This window comes from Homo sapiens, chromosome 9 (genome assembly GCF_000001405.40).
Source record: "Homo sapiens chromosome 9, GRCh38.p14 Primary Assembly".
Classification (NCBI taxonomy): domain Eukaryota; kingdom Metazoa; phylum Chordata; class Mammalia; order Primates; family Hominidae; genus Homo; species Homo sapiens.
This window is the reverse complement of record NC_000009.12, coordinates 84,820,727-84,846,253: the sequence shown is the minus strand read 5'-3', so window position 1 is coordinate 84,846,253 and position 25,527 is coordinate 84,820,727. Positions and strand designations below refer to the sequence as shown.

Below are 25,527 nucleotides of genomic sequence, written 5' to 3'. Positions count from 1 at the left end.
ATGTACTTTCAAAGGGTAAATGTTCACATCAGGTTTAACTGTTAACCCAACCAAATAAATTATTGTTAGCCAAGAATCCTTGAGCTTGGAAGCTTGAATCCACACAACTAAGCATTGTCAAATTTGGAAGTTAGCCAGATTAAAGTCTTGCAATGAAATGGAGGCTTGTATGAAATGAGATATCTCTATTTATGTCCTTGGGCTTATTCAACCCAAGAAATTATAAGAGCCATTTTTGGGAAGGGTTCCCTTTCTGTAATGGGCAGAAACAAATAGAAGCACATTCCTTAGCATTCTGTAACACTTTATGGCTTCTTTTTTTTTTTTCAAATTTTAATAGTTTTTGGAGTACAGGTGTTTTTTGGTTACATGGATGAATTCTTTAGTGGGGATTGCCGAGATTTTAGTGCACCCATCACCCAAGCAGTGTACACTGTACCCAATATGCTGTCTTTTATCCCTCACCCACTTCTCAATTGACACCCCACCAAGTCCCCACAGTCTATTATATCACTCTGTATGTTTTCGCATCCTCATGGCTTAGCTCCCACTTATACATGAGAATATATAGTGTTTGGTTTTTCATTCCTATGTTACTTCACTTAGAATAATGGCCTCCAGTTCCATCCAAGTTGCAGCAAAAGACATCATTTCATTCGTTTTTATGGCTGAGTAGTATTCCATGGCATATATTTATACTTATCATTAGCCAAGAATCTTTGAGCTTGGAAGCTTGAATCTACACAATTAAGCGTTGTCAAATTCAGAAGTTAGCAAGATTAAAGTCTTTCAATTAAACTGAGAATTGTATGAAATGAGACATCTGTATTTACTCTTCCTCTTTGGGTTTATTCAACCCAAGAAATTATAACAGCCATTTTTGAGAAGACTTTCCTTTCTGTAATGGGCAGAAACAAATAGAAGCCAATAGCAATAGCCACAAATAAATAGAAACAAATAGTGATAGCCGTGTGTGTGTGTGTGTGTGTGTGTGTGTGTGTGTATACACCACATTTTTCTTTATCCACTCATTGGTCAATGGGCACTTAGGCTGGTTTCATATCTTTGCAACTGCAAATTCTGCTGTTATAAACATGCCTATGCATGTGTCTTTTTCAAATAACTTCTTTTCCTTTGGGCAGATACCTGGTAGTGGTAGTGCTGGATCGAATGGTAGTTCTACTTTTAGTTCTTTAAAGAATCGCCATACTGTTTTTCATAGAGGTTGTACTAGTTTACATTCCTACCAGCAGTGTAAAAGTGTTGTTCCTTTTTCACCGCATCCACACCAACATCTATTGTTTTTTGACTTTTAAATTATGGCCATTCTTGAGGAGCAAGGTGGTATTTTTTTTTTCAAATTTTAATAGTTTTTGGAGTACAGGTGTTTTTTGGTTACATGGATGAATTCTTTAGTATTTACTCTTCCTCTTTGGGTTTATTCAACCCAAGAAATTATAACAGCCATTTTTGAGAAGACTTTCCTTTCTGTAATGGGCAGAAACGAATAGAAGCCAATAGCAATAGCCACGAATAAATAGAAACAAATAGTGATAGCCGTGTGTGTGTGTGTGTGTGTGTGTGTGTGTGTGTGTGTGTGTGTGAGTGAGGTATTACATTGTAGTTTTCATTTGCATTTCCCTCATGATTAACACTTTATAGCTTCTTACAGTTACTGTGCTTCTCAGTTCCCCTTCAGAAATGTCAGCTGTTTATAACAGAAGGGCAGGAAAAGACCACAGATTTATGAAAGTTACCCAGAAACATCAGCAAATATAACAAGAGAAGAATAGGGAGTCATTTTTCCCCTCCCCTTACAAAAATTTGACCTCCCTCCCCTTACAAAAATTCTCTGACTTATTCTGAATGTGGGAGGAGTCTGTAATATGTTTATAAATATAAAGCCCATTAATTTATTCAAAACAGTGAACCATCCATGGCTGGACTAAGGTTGGCTGAAAAGGCAGCAGCCAGCACTCTGGCCCAGGCCTCTCCAGCTCTCAGGCAGCTGCAGCTATGGCCTATTCTAGCCTCTTGCCTCCCTCTTTCCCTCCTCTGGTCCATCCGCCATGCTGCAGCTGAAAAGACCTTTCTAAATTGCCACTAGGATCCTCTTCCTCCCCTCATTGTTACTTAGAATGGATCAATGGCTTCACATTACTGCCTTAGAATCCAAACTCCTCACCTAGGCCTTGGCCCCAACTTTCTTCTCGTATCTCCCCTCTTACACCCTAGCAACTGCAGTAGTGATTGGTAGCTCAATGTTCATATTGTGCTGTGTCTTGCCTCTATGTCTTGTCAATGCCAATCCTTCCCCCTTAAAATCCTTTTCCCTCAAAAATCAGCTCTTTCAGGATGCCTTCCTGACCACTTCAGACTGGGCTAAATGTTTCTCCTGTCTGCTCACATAAAACTGTTTGCAGATCTTGATAGCCATGGATTATAACAATCTGTTTACTCATCTATGTCCTCAGCTAGATTGTAAACTCCTTAAAAGAAAGCTTCTAGTTTTTCAACTCTTTATTCTACATAGTGCATAGCATAAAGCCTCTACCCCTACAGCAGGTCTGCACAGGGCTGAGGCGTTGCAACACTCCCTGACTTGTGCCCCCTACAGTTCTCTGACTGAGGGCAGGGCCAAGCTGCACGTGACCCACCTTTGGAGAGCCACACCTTTGAGTTCTAACACTGCCCTCAAAAATCTCCAGGGAAAATGCAACTTTCCCTGGTAAAAAGAACACATCAAACCATCACAACCATTCAAACCAAGCACTGCTGGTGGGCAGCTGGCTCACCTCTCAGTCGGGTCCTGGGAGTGAAGGGCAGTGGGAGCCACCTCTAACGGAAGGAAAGTGAAAGGTGAGAAAGGCCTGCAGCTCAGGGGACTTCCTGGGAACTGAGAGAATGCTGTGCTGGGAGGGGAGGCTACTGAGAGAAGAGCAGAAACACAGGTCGCATGCCTCATTCACTTTACAAGGCATCCAGAGCACCTGCAGGCATAATAACTACTCATCTACTGTAGACCCAGGGAACCAACCCACTAACTTAAAATGTTGAGATTGAAAACCTACTGTGTGCCATATAGTAGGAAGAATTAGCACCTACTGAGTTCTTTATACGCATGAGGCATTTTATTAGCTCCTCACCGTAATACCATCCAGTAGATGCTATGACCCCCCATTCCTACAGGAGGGAACTGAGGTGCTGGGGAATTCATTCAGCCACACAGACAGCAAATGAAGCAAAGTGAATATGTAGTTCTTGCTCTTAGATGCCAAGAATTATTCAAAAAGACTGGATCATGGGAATAGATTATGAGGTCCTCTAGGTACATACTCTGCCTCATTCCTCTCCTTAGAGACACTCCTGGTCATTCATAAACTTCTGGAAAACTGGGTTCCCCCAGTCTAAGGTCTTCTAAGGCCTTTGCATTGGCTCTAACAGTGGGTCTAGTTTTCCCAAATGTTCACTCAGATCTAGTTCTCTCCAAATGTGGCATTAAAAAACTGAGGGTTTGAATAATTAATGTAGCCAAGTAGTGGTGCCAGACTGTGGATGAGGTGAGGTTCCAATGGTCATACGGAGGGAAGCCCCAACCATCACTGAAATCAGCCCCAGGGAGATGGGAGCACCCATGAGCATGCCGGTTTCTGCTGGAGAACCCAGAGTGAGGCCAGGGAAGCAGCACTATGGGTGGAAAACGAGGAGAGGCAGAGCCACGGCCAGAGTCCCAACCCTGGAGCAGTCAGATACCTGTGAGCCTGCAGTGGAGGTAAAATCCTGAAGCAGATCAGTAACTTCAGCCAACGGCATTCCTCTGGGTTCAGAGCTGGCTGTTGAGCTATCCAGAACCAGAATGAGATTCTCACATAGTGCCTTAAAAACGTTCTTTCCCTCAGATAAGAAAACACAGATTTATGATGATAACGCTGGCAGCCATGGGGAGTATGATTTGCAGGAGGGCAAGACTTAGATCAGGAGGGTGAAGAGTAAAGAAGGAAGTGCAGATAGAGAGGTCAGAGCCTCTTCACGAGGAACGGAGTTGCATCCCAAAGTACGTCCTATACCCAGACAAAGCTCAGTCAGCCTTTTCCTGAGCAGAAGAAATGTAATGGTATGCAAGACTGGCTGGACATGAAAACAGGGGATTAGCAGGGATTCCAGAGTCATTCACACTGCTTGTGTCATCAAACTTCTGGAGAAAGGGTGAATAGTTCCACTGGTTGCTTCAATGTTTTGTCTATGGGATTGAACATATCTGCACATGTGGAAACATCTGGGCCACTAACAGTGACACTTTTCTTGGGATGCGTCTCATCACATGGCTCTGAACCTTGCTGTGCCCTAGATTCAACCTGGGATGTTCATTCTTTCATTCATTTATTCAACAAATATTTATTACAATGAACTGTTTTAGGACAAGTGAAGAAATGGACCAAAATTTCTGCCGTGAATGTAGCTTATATTTTGTGGGGGCAGACAGAGAATTACCAACGACAACAAGGAAATCTGCAGCACATCTGAGAGTGGCAAGTGCTCTGACCATAAGTAAGGTGGGAGGAGGGACCGGGACAGTCTAGCAGGTATAAGGGCTGCAATTGAAAACAATGGTTAGGGAAGGCCTCCGGGAGACAGTGATATTTGAACAAAGACCTGAAGGAGAGGAGAAAAACATTCCAGAAAGAGGGAGCCACAGATACAAATGCTGTAGGGAGAGAGTACGGTGCCCAGGGTGCACTCTGGCCAATGTGGCCAGATATTCTAGGAGAGATTAGAGAAGACTGCACCAGGTTAGTAGCTGTGAAGGTGAAGCAAAGCAGTTGGAGTCTAGCTATACTTTGAAGGCAGAGCTAATATAGGCTGGGGGTGTAAGTGAAGAGAGGGGTCACAAGGACTCACAGGTTTCAGCCTGGGTGTCCATTTATTGAGTTGGGTTTGATTGTGGGAGGGTCACATCTCATGGGACAGCTCAGCGCTCTGTGTTGGTCATGCCAAGTGTAAGATGCTCACCTGGCATCCAAGTGGAGCTGCTGAGCAGATAGGTGGCATACGAGCCTACAGTTCGGAAGACAGGTCTCCATTGGAAACGAGAGGTGGGCAATGCCAGCATGGAGACGGATTCAAAATGCATCTGAGGTTTCTACCCATGAGACTGGATAAAATCCCCATATGAGGGAGAGCAGCTGGAGAGGAGAGGGTCTCAAAGACTGAGCTTCAGGGCTCAGCAACAGTCCCACTTGGTAGTTTCCTTCTACTACCCATGTAGAAGGAAAAGAGAGAATGCAGCAGCCTGGAGCCAGTGAAGAAAGTGAAGTCAGTGAAGAAGGAAACAAGAAGCTGCGCTGGGTGCCTCCAACAGGCCAAGTAGGATAAGAACTGGGAGGGGCTATGGGACTTAGCAATGCAACGACCTCTGAAGGGGACACTCTGGTGCAGCATTTGGAATGAAAGCTTGATTTGAGGGAATTAAAGAGAAAGGAGAAAGAGAGGAATTGGAGAAAGAAAGAACCCTTTCGAGAGAAGGTTGTTGGAGGCAAAGGAGAACAGCGCGCTAGATTGGGGCATGGTGCATGGGAAGTCAAGAGCAGTGTGTTTTTTCAGACATGAGGAATAGAGGAATATGAGCTTCCAGATTTGTAAACTGATGGGAATGATCCGGTTCAGAAGAAAATGTAACGCTGCAGGAAAGAGAGTGGACAATGGCTGGGGTGATGTCTTTCAACAGGCAAAAGAGGTCAGAGTCCAGCCAGTGCACATGGGGAGGGCGGTCCTGGGGAGAAGCCTTGTATCAGGAGAGAAGGCAGAGCCATGGCCATGCATATAAAGGTGGCATATGGTCTGGGGAGGCTTGTGGGTGTTTTCTTCAGACAGCTTTGATTTTCTCAAAAAAACAGTGACCTTATAACCAGCGACCACAGAATCAAAGTTAGACAAAGCGAAGACAAGAGCAGAGTGAGAAAGAGTTAAAAAAAAAAAAAAAAAAAAAAAGAATTGTCAATGATTGTGGTCCTGGAATGCATCAAGGTAGCAGAGGATGAGCTGGAAACAGGACAAATTCAAGGGAATGTTCACATGAGAGCATGACTGACGCCAGGCAGAGGACACATTTCTCACAAAGGACCAAACTTAGAACTGGCTGGCTATTTTTCCTAATCAGCAAGAAAAAGCAATAAGAAGGTCTTATTTTATTTCTAAATTTTTAAGAAAGGAGGGAGGAGGAGGAGGAGGAAGAAAGGGAAAGAACGAGGAATGAAAGGAGGAAGGGAGGGATGTTGGCAGTGAAATGTACCACTTACTAACATCGTATTTCTGAAAGTAGAGCTTGAGAAAAAAGTAGCCAAGAAACCCAAAGCCCTGTAGTTTCAGAGCTTCCCAGAGTCCTTCATCCGTACCTCTAATAAAGAGCAGCAATTTGTCTGCATTTTGCAGACACACTTGATGTGCTGGCAGACTCCTCACACGCTGCCTGTTTGCAGGGATTAGGGAGAAGGCGGCAGCATAGCTCCCGGGCAGCAAAGCAGAGAAAACCCACAGGCACGCTGGGGCCTGGCCTGAAGAATGCACAGATTGCTCTGCATCTGCTAGAGGCTCTGAAATCAGCTCCACATCATAAAAACTAACGCTCAGCCCGATTCAGCACATGGCCTGTACGCGCTCCATAAATATCTGGTGTTGACCTAATGCAGCAAGATGGTCACTGCTCTTTACAGAGTAAGAGTGACCCCAAGGATTAATGTCTTTAGATGAGAATCAAAATGTACTAAGACCCGTCACAGTGAAATGGGAGGACGGGTCCAAGAGTTTGAAGCCTCTGGTTTTTATTCTCATTTCTATCCAGTCCACATACATTTCCTGAACAACTGTTACATACTAAGCTTTGTGCAAGGGACTAAGGGATTCATGGAAATTAATCAATATTGCATTTTACCAGAGTGAACAGGATACAAGACAGGCCAATTAAAAGTCAGAATTAAAATCTGCCCTCATCTGTGGTCTGCATTATTTCAAGTTTTTTAAAGTGTATTTGACTCTTCTGATGAGAAATTATTGGACAAGCAGATGAGAACAACTTCAATGTGTTTCACAAACAGAAACTTTCTGACAAAGATACCCATTAGGTTGACCACCAAACCACAAATGGGTGGTAATAAATAATACAAAGCATCGTTCTGAATCAGTGCAAATGTGAGTGTTAATTACTATAGTCATAAAGAAAGTGAGGTCATTTATTTTTCAAAGAATTAATGAAATGGATGTTATTTCACCTCCCAAGGCCTTTGTGCACATCTTGGCATTCCCTCTACTCCAGAAATTGAATCCAAGTTGCATAGCAAAACATTGTAAAAAAAAAAAATCATTAAGGCTTCTGTACAGAATTTCAATTTTTTAAATCAATGAAGCAGAAGGTATGTAGTGTTATTTTATATTTTAAAGTCCAGAATTATCTATTTTTGGTAAATAAGCCACCATTTATTTTGCTTTAAATTATATATTGGCAATAAAACTTCACAAAATAGTGAACTATTATAATAGTGAATTACAATATACTATATCGGAAGAAAAGTAATAGTAGGTACATTGATTCCTCTGGTATTATTTTTTCTTAAATACTTTTGAGTAACATGTTGTATTCTATGACTGTGTGCTTGCTTTTTGTAGAAAATTTGGAAAATGCGGTAAGTATAAAGAAGAAAATAAAAATCACCTACAACCCCATGTCTGATAATAACATCTTGATCTCATCATTTTTACTGCATAAAAAATAAGTTTGGGATCATAATGCATATACAATATACACTGAAAATAGTGTAATATTGTACATTTTTTCTTAACATTGTATGGCGAGCATGTACTTTATTTTATTATCTCTGCAATTTTACCATCACTCAATGAATTCGGTTAATTATTCTGGTATTACTGCACACTATTTTCTTTTTCCTTTTTTTTGCTATTGTAAGTTCTGTGGAGACTAACAATCTTGTCCACATAACTTCCTCCCCATCTCTGTCGCTATTTTCTTCTGGATGTACTATAGCTGTTCCTGCTGCTGTTGTTGTTTTCCTATTCTGAGTGACACGTTTGCCATTATATTGTCTAACATTATTGCTAACATATGGGAAAGCCACTAAATATTGTATATGGTATCCAGCCAGATTATAGGACCTCTAGTTTTATTATTGGATTTGTAATTTGATTCTCCACTATTTTTGAAGAAAGCATAATATCTATAATTATTAATATATTTGCCTTTTCCATAAGCAAACCTTTTATAACCATTTCATGTCTTATGCCATTAGCCAGAACTTCCAGGATGTGATAAAATAATGGTAATAATATAGGCATTCTTGTGTTGCTTCAGATATTAATGGGAAAATTTCTTAGATTTTATCAGTAAGTATGATGGTGACTGTTGGTATATGACATGGCATCTTTAGCATATAAAGGAAGCATTCTTCTATTCTTAGTCTACCAATTTTTAAAAGAAAAGTTATTTAGTTTTAGCAACACCTAAATCACTTGAGACAACCAAATAGACTTTCTTTTGTGACTTAGACTTAGTTACTGGATCCTGAGTTTATCATAGTAGCATGTGATTATTCTTTGATTAGTGGGTTATATATGAGGTTATCTAAAGTTTTATCTTTTTATTCTCTATTCAATCAGACAAAATTCTTTGCTACAAAGCCTCCCTCGAAAGCATCAGTTTAAGCTAACATTCATTGAGGGTCTATCTAAGTTCCAAACACAGTTTGTAAGCACTTTATATATATCTGTAAATAATTCTATAACATAGAACTTATTATTCTCATTTTACATGTGAAGATATTGAGGCACAGCAAAGTCAGACCATTAGTGTAAGTTTACCTGGCCAGTGAGCGGCAGAATTAGGACTTAGATCCCAGGCAGCCTGACATTTCCAAGTGGGCTCTTGATCCCCATAGCCAAACCCCCTAGTTTCAATCACAGCTTTATCAACTGCCACCCTGGTAGCTTTGGTCACTTAACTTCTCTCAGAAACAGTTTCCTCATCTCTAAAATAAGAATAACAATAGGAATAACAACACCTACCTGAAAGGATTAGTATGAAGCTTCTCTATGCCTGACATGGTATAGACACTCAATAAAATAACAAGTAACATTTCTTCTTATTACTTTTGTTATTTAGTTAACAAATATTTACTGAATGCCTACTCTGTGCCAGGAATTGTTCTGGGTATTTGGGAAATAATGCCCTCATTGAATTTCTGTTATAGTATATTCCAGTATTATTATATTATATTATATTATATTATATTATATTATATTATATTATATTATACTCTACGACAAGCTCTCAATCTATTATCTGCACTTTTGAAATCCAAGATGTTCTGAAAACCCAAAGTTACACTCGCTTGGCAGGAAAATCTGACTTGAATTGTTGTAAGGTTCTTTGTAGACTTTACTGATCCCAGTTACTGGGACCAGCCTCAGTGCCACCGCAGAAATATCATTGACTGTGGAGAGCTCCCCAAGGCCCCAGCGGAGGTGGTAGTGATAATCACTGTATGAACCATAGTGAGCATTTCCAAAATTTCCAAATCCCCCAAATCCAAGGCATCCTGTTCCATGAGTTTTGGACAAGAAACTGTGGTCCTGCATACTAGATGATAATATTAGATTATGCTAGAAAACAATAACATTACATTAGAGTGTAATCTAATAGGATAATAATTTATTCTCTCAATGAGGATGCAAGTCCCCCAAGGGCATTGACTGTACTTGCTCATCCCACTTTCCCTACTGCAACTCACATGCTCCAAGTACCTGGTGGGTTCTTGCCCATCATTCCACTCCATTTAATTCAACTCAGGAGCATCCTCCCTCATTCAAGATGTTTCAGTTCCTTGCAGGGCTACTTCTCTTACTTAAAAGCACCAACATAGCCATCATTTCCCAACCAACTAGGGCAAAAGAACAGGGCAGATCATAGGAAGAGCTGCCCTCTTCTTGCATTTCTCTAAACCTAGCAGTGATTTTTTTGCCCCATATCAACATGCACGGCCTTAAATACCTGAATAGTAACTCTTTGATTAATAAAATGTTCACAATATGTCAGCATATTTTAACAATTTTACTTCTGCCATAAGGCTAACTTAAAAACATTTTGGCAAAGAACAGAACTATGGTGTTTGCTAGAATGGTAAGAAGCTCTGTTTCCCTGAGATTTCTGTTCTAAGACGGCCCCACAATGTGATGGGATCTAGCATTATGCCTTGGCACAATACACGAGCCATGCCAGTAAATCCTGTCTTACTCTTCAACCACGAGGGCCTCCTTATGTTTCTGGAGCTGTTCTGTCTTGTCAATTGTTTTGAGTTTTATATTAGATTAGGATTTGCTGGCATTGCAGGGGAAATGCCGAAATGCCTCAAGCAAGCTCTATGAGCCATAAATAAGAAAAGAAATGCCTTACGTTGCTCTCACACATTTTATTTTTCAGGTTACTTTCACACACAGGATTTCAGAATAGTTTTCCATCAGCTGGCTTCCCTGGGTCAGCCTCACGCTGCTGTTACCCATGCGGCTATCTTCAGCAATGATTTTGAGAGACAACTGCCTGATTTTACAACCTGACCATTACAAAGAAGGGGGGAGGGGCAGCTTTGGTTTTCTGCCAACCCAATGGGCCATCTTTGGAGTTTTGTGCATTTTTGTTGTTGTTGTTGTTGTTCTTGTTGTTCTTGTTGTTGTTATCTCTGTCTAAATCTAGTAGTGGCCAGAAAACATATCCCGTGGCTTTAGCACTTGATAGACACATCCTTTTTTAGCTGAGGAGAAACTCTCTGTTCCAAAGACAACCCTGACTGCCTTTTGGAGTGGGGGCTCATTTCGCTGACAGAATACAGCTTAGCACACACCATCTTGAAACAAAGGGTCATGCACAGATGGGCACTGGATACATCTACTGTGATGATTGATAATGATGAAGGGGCAAGCGAGGAAAGATGTCTTGCACAGGGCCAGATACTCAATAATTGCTGATTGATGAATGGCGACACCTACTAAATGCCACTCTGAAAGATAGCCACACTTGAAATGATATGTAGGTGAATTCAAGCTCCCAGATAAAACGTCTGGATTTGGATGGCAGAAGTCTTTGTTAAGGCAGGCATCCCTGAAATAGCTAGAAGGCATGGGTAGGCAGTTGTTATGGTTTTCCCCGCCAAAGGAATATCACCTACCCAAGAGAGAAGACTAAGGCCATACCCACTACCAGGAATGTAAATTATCAGCTGTGCAAAAATGCCACTGCTTTTAGTCTATATTGCCCATGTTTTGTTGCATGAGCTGGACCAGCTACATAATTTTCAGTGTCCATTGCTAAATAAAATGCAGACCCCTCATTTATAAAATATTAAGAATTTCAAAATCTTGACAACAGAGCATTAAACCAAGCAGGCAGCCCTGCTAAGCTATATGACAGCACAGATCTCAGTCCCATGAAGGTGGCCCTGTGTATGAGTAATGGTTTGTGCGTAATGTTACAGATGCCTTTCCTGTTGCCTGCAGTCAGTGGGCTTGAACTAGAACTCTCAACATGTGCGCAGAGGTAGTAACCCGAGCCAGGAAAGATGAAGTCAATTGTTATACTGGCTCAACATGAGACACACCCCTCCGATTTGAAATGGAAAGTGACTAGAACAATGCTTCTAGGGGTTCCTAGATGCTCCAGACTAAGTGTTGACCTAGATCATCAAGGGAAAAAATGTAATTAGTGGTCAACTCCCTCCTTGTTAACAGTGACTTAAGAAAGGGGGACTAACACTTTGGGGCTCAGGCCTAATTATCCTGGGGGCAGCCTCCAGGGCACAGCAATCCTGGAGACCTGTTATTAACTGTAGAATCAGACACCTGCTATTTTAAATTGATTTGATTTAACTTCCTTTATAGGTAGGATTAAATAGAGAATTCCCAGCTAAATTTAAATTTCATCAAAGAAGAAATAATTTTTTATTTTGTGCATGAAACATAATTATACTAAAAATCATTTCTTGTTTATCTAAAATTCAAATTTAGCTGGGAATCCTGTATTTATTTGCTAAATCTGGCAACCTTATTGATAGGCTTTTGATAGGTTCTCCGTTTGTATTTTGTAAAGTTCTGTATGAAAATGCCCACCTCTCCAGCTAAGCTAGAATTTTAGGCAGGTGACAGTATAACACCACAGACACAGTGGCTATGGCGATTGTAGTGAGCTACCCAAGTGGAAGATGAAAGTCAAATGAACTAAGACATGGAGACACCTCTGTGCCCATCCTCACCCGGGCATCCTCCTGCAATTCTCACCCTTGCTGCACAGTGGAATCACCCAGGGAACTTTAACAACATTGATGGTCCTGCCCCCAGAAATCCTTACTTAGGTCTGGGATATAGCCTGGGTTTTTAAAAAGTGCTCCAGGTAAGAAATAAAGTGTCAGTGAGTTACTTGATTTGGGTTATCAAGGGAAGCTGCTATGAAGCTCCAAAGATTTATATGTAGTCCTAAAATACAAGAGTAAGAATGGATTGGACACTCATCTTAGTATCTATAGGAGTGATCCCTGCCCCCTCCCTCCCCTGCCTCCCTCCTTCCTTCCTGCCTTTCTTTCTCTCTCTCTTTCTTTTCTTTCTTTTTCTCTTTCTTTCCTTCTGTCTCTCCTCTTTTATTCTTCCTTCTTTTTTCTTTCCTTTCTTAGTATCTACTAGAGTGATCCCTTCCTTCCTTCCTTCCCTCTTTCTTTCTTTCCTGTTCCTTCCTTTTTTCCTTCCTTCCTTCCTTTTTTTCTTTCCTTTCTTTTTCTCATGCAAATCACTAAAAGCATTAGGTTACTCTCATCCAATTCAAGTTATTCTCAAACCTGTCTGCACCTTAGAATCACCTAAGGTATTTTAAAAAGAGACTGCTGTCAAGACCCCATGCCCAGATATTCTTACTTAGTTCCTCTAGTGTGGATCCCAGGCATGGATATTTTAAAAATCTCTCCAGGTGATTTTTAGTGTGCAGCCCAAGCTGAGAAGCACTTCACAGAACAATGGCTGTCAGACCTTAGTGTGCATCAGAACCCTGTAGGGAGCTTTTTGAACATGCAGTCTCTTGCCCTCCCTACCCACCCACCACCACCACCACCACCACCACCAATGAGGCCCAAGAATATGCACCTTTAACTGGATGATTCTGAGACAGGCCACACTTGAAGAAGGGCAGCCTCAGCTGTGGGCTCCTCTGACACAGAAGTCCCCACTCAGCCCAGCACGGCCTTCTCAAGGCTCCATAGAGTGTGCAGGAGTGCCCGCATCCAATCTATCCAGGTGCGGGGGTGGCTGCCGATATTATCTATGGCCCAAATAAGAAAACCAAGGATTCAAGCCAATTTCTCCCGCATCGTCCTCCTCCCTGCGATTCAAACACACTGGGCCAGCTCAGGAGCACTTCCGTAAAACAGACTTTTATTGAAAAAGACTACAGCAAATCATACTGAGGTGAATGAAGACAGTGAAATGAAGGAGAAGGCAGGTCCTCTTTATGTTTTCGCAGCTGGTTCAAGGGGTTTGGGGTTTTCTATCTAGGTTAAAGATTGCGTAATACACAGCTGGAGCCATAGACATTAATGCATGTTTATCACACGCAACAACGATGCTGCATCATGTGATTACAGCTGGGCCTGTGCTGCTTCTACACCTCCCTCGCCCTGACACTTCCACCAGGTTGCTCCTCACCTCCGTCTCTGCTTTTATCCTCTTACTGCTCCTTTCAGGACCAGCAGAAATGTCAGCTTCCCAGGAATCCTTCCCTGGATCTCTGCAGCAAGAAATAGCTTCTCTGATCACTGTAGCACTTGGTTCTTTAATATCTTTATCTTGCTCTACCTTGTTATATTTTTCTTGTGAACTTAAAATTCCCTGTGAGGACGTAAACCTTTGAAGGTATGTCTCATATCTCTGAACCTCTTTAAAATGCCTAGCATCCCTGTGTGGGTGCCAATTGCTTGTGTATTGAATTAAATTGTGATTGTTAACTTAACATCACAGGCATGTAACTTATTAAGAATCTAAGAAAGCCACTAGGTTTCCAGTTATATGGAGAGAAACGGGTAACAAGAGAATACAAGAATATTAAGCTTCATCAGATTCCATGTTCTGAAGGTCAAGGTGGAAAGAAAACCCTAACACCTCTTCGTATTTAGAAAACAACTATGTTTTTTAGGCATAAAACAAATGCAATTTCTGAATTATTTTGGAGTTAACTGGGTATGATCATGAAGAATAATTTACAAATTTTATTTCAGTGGCAGTGAAAGATCTTTCCGTCTGAGCTAAAATATCTTGCCTTTTTTAGAGGTTTATCTTACTTTGAATCAGAACCTACTCTTCCAGTCACTAAGAAAAGAGAACTGTGAGAATCTCCTAAGTGTACTTACATCCTGTGATCACCTGTGCTGACCACCCCTTCTGTTGATTATCCATCATGTGGCCTAGGCCCTGAAGTCTCTTCTTTTCTCTTACAAGAATGCAGACTCTGGATCCCAAAGGCCCTGTCTGAATTCTTGCTGTGACATTTATTAGCTCCGTCACCTCGAGTAAGTCATTTAGCCTCCTTGGGCCTCACTTTCTTTCTCTGGATGGGGATAATGGTGGTATCTACCTCACAGGAATGTTGTGAGGATTACAGGAGTTGGCATATGGAAAACACTTAAAGTACTGTCTGGTATATGCTAAAGTGCCTCTCCTGGGTAACTGACCACCAATGTACCACGGGCATAGAAAACTAGAATTTTTTCTTATTAGGCAGTGATCCTCTCTCTCTCTCCCTTTCCCTGACCCCCTCCCTTCGGTTAGACTTGTATATAAAACAGCATATAAACACTAAAGCAAAGATGAGGGGAGAAATTAGCAAAACAATGTTAACAAGGTTGCTAACAAATGGGCATTTGTATACTCTTCTGGTGTGACTGTGCCAATATTTCTGGAAAGTAAATTGGCAATATATTATAAGGGTCTTAATATCAAAACCTCATAATTTAGAAATGTTATATCTGGAAATCAATCCTAGGAAAAAATCCAGAGATATGGACAGAGATGCCCATTACAGTGTTACTTTTAACAATGAAATTGGAAATTACTTAAACATCCAATACTAGGAAAATATCAAACACATTATGGTTTATTCAAAGGATAGAATATTACAGAGCGATGGAAAAGTTTATTTATGACAAATGTTAACTCCATGAAGAAATCCTTGTAAATATACTGTTCAGTACATGTAATAGGAAATAAAAATATTTATATACAATATGATTCAAGCACAGAACAATTATAGGCACAGAAAAGCATTAGGAAAACTAAATGAAATATTTCTGGGTGGCAGGATTATAGGAAATCTTTACTACTTTGTAATTCATATATTGTTTAAAAAATACAATGCCAGTAGGATTTTTAAAAATCACTTGAGGGAAGAAGTAAACACAGAATATGGGATCATAATTAGTTCATTACCATTCTATGGTTATTTCAAAATACTTTTTTAAAAAAATATTGAGAAAAGCTTTGGAGATTAAACTGCCTCTACCTGGCATAGGGTATGAGCATATTTTGTTCAATAATCTATAACATCTCCTTTCTCTCTTATAGGCTAAGAACAGTTCAAAGAAAGAAAAATTAAGCCAAAATCACACACACACACACACACACACACGCATGCATGCTCATACACATACACGCATGCTCACACACATACACACACACCCTTAGGCTGCTCTAAAGCATAAGGAGACAGGAAAATAATAAGGAACCCAAACCTGTGCCAGTTTCTAACAGCTACTTATTGGGAAACTGTTTCTATCACACTTCTAACCAGTGGTGCTAATATTTAAATGCCCATAAAGGATCAATAAAGCCCTGCCTGGGTTAAAATGAGATACGATGGTGCACAACATTCTGTGTACAGGAAACTGTATACAAGAACGTGAGGGTAAACAAGGACAGACTTGTGCCTAGGGTGTGTGAAAGGCATCATGGGAGGGCCTGAGAAAGGTGGGAAGAAGCATGAAGCATGTCTTGACCTGCTGTCGTTGCCAGAGCCACTGTGAGGCTTCCATACTTAGCATAAGTCTACATGAATGCCAACATGTCTTAAATCTAACTTTCAACCAGCGAGATGATAGGTGATAGATGTCCACCATAGGATGATTTGGAGAGAAGGGGGTGTTCCCTAAACTGCTCCTACTCTGGTGCAGTAATACCCACAGGGAAGCTTTGCCCCAGATGTTTTTGATGGTTTATTCCCAAGAATTACTAGTGTTTTTCCCTCATTGATGAATGAGTAACAAAACACTCTCAAATGCAGTAAGAGGAAAGAAAATCTTTGCTATCCCTTGTGGAAAGGCAGCAGCAGTCCAGGAGTTCTCAATACAAAAGAAAAAGATGGGGTTTAGTGCAGAGGATTAAATGACCCCATCCATCAAGAACAAAAAGTGAGCATCATAAATCCCTGAACAATCCCAGAAGGCATCTGATGGACCCCCGCCATCCATCTTGGCATGTCGGCGAGGAGCAGGTGGGATTCTCTCACTGTGTCCTCTCCCGGGTGGTGCAGAGTCCAACAACGGCCCAGCATGCAAACAGGCGGAACATCGCCCCTTAAGAGGCCAACAGACAGAACACTCAACACACCAGATCCTGAGAAGGCCTGGAGAGCACAATGATTGATTTGGCTATTTCGTTTAGAGAAACAAAGCCATTCTAAGCTGTTGTGTAGCATTCATTAGGGCAGAAACCAAATCTAGGAGTCCATAGAGTGAACCTGCCCTCAGATGTGCTTTGTTTGACTATTACCTGCTTAAAAAAGAACAAAAAACAAACAAACAAACAAACAAAATTCATATGACCTGAAGACATTTTAAAATTAGAAAATTTCATGTGAAAATTGATCTCTGGGCCAGGCGCTGTGGCTTGCACCTGTAATCCCAGCATTTTGGGAGGCCAAGGCAGGCGGATCACTTGAGGTCAGGAGTTCAAGACCAGCCTGGACAATATGGCGAAACCCCATCTCTACTAAAAATGCAAAAATTAGCCAGGTGTGGTGGCACCCGCCTGTAATCCCAGCTACTGGAGAGGCTGAGGCATGAGAATTGCTTAAACCTGGGAGGCAGATGTTGCAGTGAACTGAGATCGTGCCACTGCACTCCAGCCTGGGTGACAAGAGTAAGACCCCATCTCAAAACAAACAAACAAACAACAAAAAAAAAACACCATAGATTTCTGGCTTCTTTAAAAAAAAAACAAAACAAACAATCCTGTACAAGGGTCCACATTTGTCAGTAAACACTAACAAGCTACTATCTTCAGAGAAGGCATGTAGCATTCCATTTGACACAGTCCCCAGGAGCCTACTGCACTAATTTATATATTTGCCTGCCCCTTTAATCGGCTTTGACTTTTCAATCCATGAATCACACATCACACAAGGAAATATAATAACTAAATATTTCACTTTCTCCAGCTTGTAGGAAGGATTTACAGACATTTTCTTTCTTCCCTTTCTTTGAACTTTACTGCCAAAAATAATCAACCAATAAAATTTTAATCTTTTAAAAGAAACAAAAATCATATTTAGTTAGACACACTTGGCATACAATTTCACCTTTGTTGTGTTGTTGTACTAATGAGGCCATCTGAGTTCTCTTTGGAATGAATACAATAATTCATCTGGGGGTAGGGGGAGAGAATGAAAGGTAGGAGGTTTGTCTTGTTCTCTAGAAAGTATTCACCTGAATCCTGAATCTCCCTAAAGACAAGCAGAATTAGGGAGAAGAAGCATATCTATGGAAATGCAAAATTTCCCTGTCATAAAAATAAATTCTAAAAGATAAATTTTCAGCTTCAACATATAATGAAGTTATAGCTCTTTGACAAATGATGTTCTGCGTTGTCATGGCAACTGGGCCTGTTAGAGGTGTGCACAAAGAGGCCTGCCCATAAATCAGTATGTTTTAGGAAGGGGTTAAAACAAACATCTCTAGACTTTTCCCCAGATGTAATGCCAAAAATGTAATTATAGACATTTGTATCAGTCTGCCATAAAGAATGACAGCTCCGATTCTGCAAAATGTTAATTAAAAAGTCTATTAAATCCATGTCCCTCTGAGAGAAATTAATATCACACCTAAGGTTGGGAGTCAATGCAACTCAATGGGTATGAAAATTGGAAGGGCAAGTTTCAAAAGAAAGGCTTAAAAGCAGCTCTAATCTATAAGCTGTTTAGTTAAGGGTTTGGACTAGATTCCAATTCTCAAGAGAAGAAATGTTGAGGGAAAAATGGGCAATGCTCAGAGCCTTTCTGGAAGCTTGAGAGAACACGAAACTGTAATCAAAGATATGGGGCTTAGGTTTGCAAGGGAGAAACTGATAGACTGAGGTTAGCTCAGCTGAAAACGCAGAGGTGAAGCACCTAGGAATCGTTAAATCCAGGAGGACATAGACAACAAGCAGTAAGCATTGGCAGCTTGCAATGAAGTCAGGAAAAATGAGAATTAGCGTAAAATCAGACATTTGAAAAATGTTTCTTAAGGCAAAAGTCATGAGATTCCACCCCAAGGGTTACAGATTGGCAGCCTACAGGCCAGGCCCAATTGAGTCAAAAGACAAGTTTTGTCTGGCCTGCACAGTGTTCTTTAAAAATGTACATTGTTTGCCAACATTTAAAAATCAGGAGATTTCACATAACCTCTGGCTTCTTCTCTTTAAAAAGCAGATGATTTGGCAGCAAAAAGCCCTAGATTCCCACGTGGCACCCAGAGCTGGAGTTGCGCTCAGAGAACATAAGCTCCCTGAAGACAGTACTTTGCTTTTCTCACCCTGTGGCCCCAGCACTTGGCACAGTCCAAGGCAAGGAGAAGGGTTAAATGCATGGTTGAATGAACGAGTGAGTATCAGCTGCCCTGTTTAAATAAGACACACACTCTCCAAGGGGCTGCCCCTCTCTCCTCCCTTTAACTGTTACTTGCCTGGCCCCACCTTGCTCTGTGCTGTAAGTTTTTTTCTTTAGTTAAGACACCTCACATTGCCTCTTGATATTAGTTCCCCATAGAATTCACTCTGATGACCACCTATGTGGACCATTGAAGTGAATGATAATGTAATGATATTCTTTAAGGATTATAAACACTAGTCTAAAATAGGAGCTTCCTTTAAAGTCTGGCATCACCATCATCATCATTCACCCTGCAGGCAGCACAGTGCATAAGAGGACCTGCCAAACCCCCTTCTTTCGCTTGGAACAAAGCAAATACTTCTGATAGGCTTCAGATCTGAACACCTGTTTATTCATTCAACAAACACAAAACTCCTTCAAAGTGTTTTTATGACTAAAAGCCATATGATATGTCTCTTTCACCTTGATGTCCAGAGATTTAAATTTTTATTAAATGAATGAATGAGTGGTGGTAATAGCTATAGACAATAACTATATTGTGAATCTACTAAGTACTAGATACATGCATTGTTAACTTATTCTCACAATCTACGTGGTGGAAATGAGTATCCCCCTTTTACAGAAAAGGAAAAACTGAGATTTAGTGAGGTTAGGGGATACGTCCACATCATGGGCCAAACAGGGATTGGAACTCAGATCTTCTTGGCATCTACATCCTGTACCTTCCATTGTGCTATCAACCTCTCAGTTCAACTCTGTTCTCCAGGTAGTGGGTTACATGGTGGCCTGTAAAAAAAGATATGTCCAATCCTGAGCCCTGAAACCTGTGACAGTGATCTTACTTGGAAATAAGGGCCTTTGCAAATGTTATTAAAAATTACTAAGATGAGATTATCGTGGATTTAGGGTAGGCTTTAAATCTAATGAGAATTTCTATAAGAGGAAGAGAGGACACAGAGACTCAGGGAGAAGGCGAGCTGAAGGCAGCTGCAGTGACTGGAGTGATACAGCTACAAGCCAAAGGATGCCGATAATTGCCCCTGGAAACTAAGAGAGACCCTCAGGTCCTCCAAAAGGAACCAACCCTGTCAACACCTCACTTTCAAACTTCCAGACTCCACAATGATGAGAATAAATTTCTGTTGTTGTAAACCATCACGTTTGTGGTAACTTGTTATGGCAGCCCCTGGTTCACATCCTGAAGAAGTTCCCCAGAGATCTTTGCTTCTGCTGTCCATGGCGGGTGGGGGGTGGAATTTAGTTTCATTCAGAATCCTAAAGCTTTACTGATCTTCCGTGCCTCAGAAGCTCCCTATTTCTGATTCAGCCTTTCAGCTATGAGGTCCCACATAGCTTTACTCAGAAACATTCACACATCTCAACAAAAGTGAACTCAACTGAGAATCACATCTTTTTCATCTGTTTCTTTGAAAGCCCAGTAGCACCTTTGACAGGAGTGGCATGTGGTCTAATGCTTTGGAGCAATCCAGTTTAATGCAGCAACAGCAGACCCAAGCTCCTCTCACCAGATGAACACTATGGCACAATTATTAATATGGGGGTATAGGAAAGAAGGTGCCACTCTGTGTGCAGAATTCTGTGCCAGCTTCTAGGAGGGTGGGAAGATAGGTAACAATCATGATAATCATTGTTATGGTCATTGCTTCTGTTACTGCATGCCATGCTGTCTGAATGACTTGCCAGACTTTTTTTCCACTTAAATCTCCTAGTCACCCCACCCTTGTTTTAATGAGGACAAATCTAAGACTTGGAGAGTTAAGTGCCAAGTTCAAGGTCACCCAATCAATAAGTTGAGGGTGGTGGGAGGAAGAGGGTCAAACCAAGTGGAGTAGGCAGCTTAAGGAAGTGGACCAGAGGTGGTGGGTGGGGAAGCATGGCTGGAGTGACAATGTCCTGAACTTGGGATGCTCTTTTGAGAAGCTTGGACTTAATCTACTCAGCTGCGCAAGTTGCCTAAGGCTCAAGCCTGCATCTTGGGAAGATAATGTGGGGCTCAGGGGGTGGAAGCATGGTGAGAAGGGGAGAGAGAAGACCAGCTTGGCCCTCTCAATTACAAAGGGCCTGGAGGATGGTAGACAGGGTGGGGGTACACAAAATGGACAGGTTTGAAAGATTTGGGTGAGGAAGACTTGGCTTGATTTTGGAACCACATTCAAGAGCCCAGGGAGAGGAAAGCTGTCCTGGGTAATCCAGGAGTTGGAAGGATGAGCAAATTGTCCACTACAGCAGAAGGCACGGGGCAGGTGTGTCTGGGAACACGTGATGAACTCAGTTAAAAAAAAAAAAAAACTGATCTTTTTGCCTCTGGAACCCACAAAATCCAGAGGTGTTTGGTTAGCAGATGGTGCTGTAGCTTCTGTCTTCTCTCCTCAGATCTGATAGATTTCCTTCAAGGGAAATTGGTTGGATTTTAGAGGGTGTATCTCCAAATTAAAACCATGAATAGCTTTAAGCTCTCCAAAGGAAACAGCCTACATACTGTGGCACTGTGATGCAAGATGTAGAAGCTGCTGGCCTATTTCCCCAAAAGGTCCACCTTTCCAGCAGCGGACAAGTGTGTCTCATAGGCCCAGAACTCACCAGGACACAGAGCACCCAGAAACACTGTCTGCATCTCAGGGAAGAAATTGCCAAACTTAGCAAGAAAAATTTAGAACTGAGAGCTGCCTCAGCCTCTCTTGGGAGCCCATTTAGGGCTGCCTACAGGGTTGGGGGCTCCAGAGCCCCTTTCTTGCTCCTGTTGGGCTGCCCCACCTCTGAATAGCCATGCCACCCTCTCTCCATGCATTACTAGAGGAAAAGAAGAGCTAGTAGCCCAGGGCCAACATACCAATTTGCCAGGGTCTAAGATGATCTGAATTCTGCATGCTGATCTCAGTAAGAAGCAGGTGGAAAGGGTGCCAACAAGCACTGGCCACAGAGTCAAAAGATCAGTTTCTGAATTCTGGCTCAGCCTGTCGACTAGGGAGAGCCACAGATTGCTGGTGGTGGGTCGTGAGGGTTCTCTCAGAACCACTGTTACTGCCATTGTGTGCCCTGCAGTGCCAACAGCCAGCACCTGTGTCACTTTTCTGGAGGCCTTCCCTTGAGCTATTGGAGCCCATTTTTGCCTGTTGCAACCTGCAGCTAATGACTGACAGGTGTACACATATGAAAGCCCAGCTCCCTAAGCTCAGGGTGGGACAACTCTGAAGGGCAACTTAAACCACTGAAACTAAATGGCTGAAACCACCTCCACAAGGCTTTGGCTCAAATCATACTCCTGCTTAGCTCCTCCCCCACTGTCCTGCTTCCCCATACCGGTCCCAGGCACACCCTTAATAAATTACTTGCACATGAATCCTCATCTCAGCATCTGTTTCCAGGAAGCCTGACTTAAGACAAGTATCTACTCAGGGCTGTTGTAAAGGAACCACGTCTGAAAGCCACGAGCAGAATGTCCAGCCAGAAAGTCACAAACGGCAACATTTGGCATCAACACTTGTTATGTTTGGCTCATAGAGACCTTAAAAAATGTGAAGGGTCTTGCCAACATTTAAAAACTAGAAAATTTCACATAAAAACCCGGATCTCCCCTTGTCTTAAAAAAATCAGAAGATTTGGGTACGCTAGGCTTTCATTCCTGCACGCCAACATGGGCTGGGCTAGGGGCAGCCCTATCCTGTGCATGGGGCATTCTCCTCCACCCCAGCTACTGACGCCCAGGACTGTCCCAACCTGTAGTCATTTGAATCAGGAACCTATGGTCTACCACATAGAAAGTACTCAATAAAGTTGGTTGCATCTGAATAAGGTCTCATTTTCCTTGAAAACAATTCAATGCAAGGGCTGCTGAAGTCCAGGAGTGAGTAATTGTGTAAGAGGATGCATCGCTCTGTACCACTCCGACTTGGTCCTCATGCCTGGCAAGGCATTGATGTACACTTCCATAAACACTCTTCTGAAAGAATATGAATCAATAACAAGAGCTGTCATGATAGGAAATTTGTTTGATGGGGAACACAAAATGAAATGAAATAAAAATCACTCGTGGTTTTAGTATGTAGGCGAGAAAAACAAAAACAGGTCTTAGTTTCAGATGTTGTTTTATGTTGCCATAAATAAAAGGGTAGCTACAGCTCAAAAATTACATTTTTTAAACATTTCAAAATGTTGACTTGCCCAGCCTGGGTACTTTTAAAAAAAAAAAATGATTGTAGTAGAAGCCCTTTTAACCAATGAAACTGACAGTAGGTCATTTAAGGAAGTGGAGTTTCCGAAAGCACTCAACCCAGATGTTCAGCCAGGAGTGTCCAGGGTGTAGGTTGGTCATTGTGTTTTACAGAGAGATGGCAAGCAGCAATTAATGAGCATATCTGTTAAGTGGAGCTCAGATAAGACAGTGTCTACTGTTGAGAATGCACCTCGTAGACCTTCAAGGACAGGGAACATAGTTGACCAAGGGTACCAAATGCTGAACTCAGGAATTTATCGCCTCATTTGCACAGAGGCCAAGCTCCAGAGCCAATGAGTGAGAGTGGTGGAAATATAAAGGCAGAACCCTCCTGGGAGACAAGGAAGTCTTCTGATGGCTGATTTGGCTCAAATACTCCCCAGCAGCCTCGCCAGTAACTCCCTAGAGTGAACGGCAGTCGAGGGTGCTTGACCTAAGCCTCCATCCCTCTCTTATTCACCCACAGTCCTGCTTGCATTGCAGTCTGATGCTCTTACAGATCCTTGCTCTCGGATTCCCTTCCCAGTTTCTCTCACCCAAGAGTTTCTCAGGATAAAAATCTTTGCAGCTTTAATTCCATCTTGGTGTCTGCTTCTGAGAGGACACATTCTGCACTGCAAAATTCCTATTGCCCACATTTGGTAAAATCTATCTACTCTACCCAATAAATGAAGGCTCCTAATTTCTTCATATTCCCATGAATCGAAAGGAAAAAGCACTTACAAAGGAAACCTAAGATGAGTGGGCTTTGAGGAATTGAGTATAGAAGTAAGAAAGTGAAAAAGAAAAAGAAGAAGGCTTCAGTGGGGGAGGAGTGTCAAGGGAAAAGAAGGTGACAACTTCTTTGTTTTTCCTCCACTTGGACAATTTTCTAAGAATATGGGCATGGAGACCCCCTGAAATAGCCTATTCACACCACTAGAAAAAGACTCTCTGATACTTTATGCATTACCTATCTTGCTCCAGAATTCCAAATGCTAAATTGCAATTTGGAGATGAAATGTATCATCCCTTAGAGGACTGCTGGCCAAGAAGTCCTTTATGGTGAAAATGACAAACACAGGTTGTCACTCTCTGTATCCCAAACCTCAACATTTCTAGATTTTCATTTTGTTGAAAGGCAGAAAAAGGGAAGTAAATGGGCTTATGAAATATGTAAAATGCACCTCATAACCAAGAAAAGAAAGAACACAGCAATTTACACACATTCTCTCTTCTCTCTCTCTCTCTCTCTCTCTCTCTCTCTCTCTCTACTTCTCTCCCTCTCTGCTAAGAGGGTTAATATTATAAGGAAACCTTCAGGCTGGTTATTTTATAATTCACAGCAAAATAAAAAAAGGAGACAAAATCAGCAGCATCATTTATAAACCCTGGAAAATGGAAGTTTCCAAGCTGTCATAAATAAGGATGGAAGCATTTGCCAAGTCAGAAATTTTGCCAAGTTTGAAATCCACTCAATCCTTACATCTTGGAGCTCAGAACGGAACACCAACCTTTTGGGATTTGTAATTATTTCTTCTCAGCAAAACTTCTTGCTATTTATAAGGAAGTAAAAACAAAGAGCAAAAAATACAACATGGAAAGTTTTTTAAGAAGAGCTGGGAGTGTTACAGCACAGTAAGCACTGAGGAGGTGATAATGGTAAATGGTGTATGTACTGGGATTACATTCCCATTTGATCAAATAGAACTGAAAATACATGGTATTCCTATTCCATAGGGGTGTGTGTGTGTGTGTGTGTGTGTGTAAATTCTTGTGCCCTTTCCTTGCTCTCTCTCTCTCGCACACACACATAAACATGCAAGCTAAGTACATTCCGCCCAACCAATTTGAAAATTTTAAAGTGTGAAAATTAAAGAAAAGACAAAGCATATTTATGGTGTTTGTCTTGAGTAAAAAGAGAACTGAAAGAAAAGAGAAGAAAATGATTTTTTTAAAAAAAGATAAAAGAGAAATAAAAAAAAGAAAACAGGTTACAAGGGCAGGGATACTTCATGCATTTACACCAAGTCAAGAAGAATTACAGCCACCAAAATGAAGAGCAGAGATCTTATGGCTAGCTCAGAACTTGCAGCCTAGAGACACCCAAGAGACAAAGGAAAATCATTGGCCTCAGAGAAACAATGCCAGAAGCAGAGATTTTATAGGCAGACAAATCTGATGTGTGTGCCCTTGGAAAAGTCATTTAACTTTTTAAGCCATTGTTCTCTTATTATGGGCAGTGATAGTATCAATATTATACACATTACCATTAGGCCATAGCCCATAAGGCCAAAGATGGAGTTGCTTGGTTTGTGGAGGTACCTCCCAGCACCTAGCTCACTGGCCGACATACACACTT

General features: G+C 41.5%; 1 protein-coding gene and 1 long non-coding RNA gene across 23 annotated transcripts in view; one reads left to right on the top strand and one right to left on the bottom strand.

Moving 5' to 3' along the window:
* Window positions 1–25,527, bottom strand: part of NTRK2 (neurotrophic receptor tyrosine kinase 2) — a 358,533-nt gene that overhangs the window by 180,801 nt on the left and 152,205 nt on the right. The gene's annotated exons all lie outside the window — the stretch shown is intronic.
* Window positions 14,187–18,889, top strand: LOC124902193 (uncharacterized). Of its 2 annotated transcripts, none has more exons than XR_007061632.1 (3): window positions 14,187–14,271; window positions 14,530–14,600; window positions 18,773–18,889. It is a non-coding gene; the product is annotated as an uncharacterized LOC124902193 (long non-coding RNA). The 2 variants fall into 2 exon arrangements; XR_007061631.1 differs by having other exon boundaries at window positions 18,770–18,889.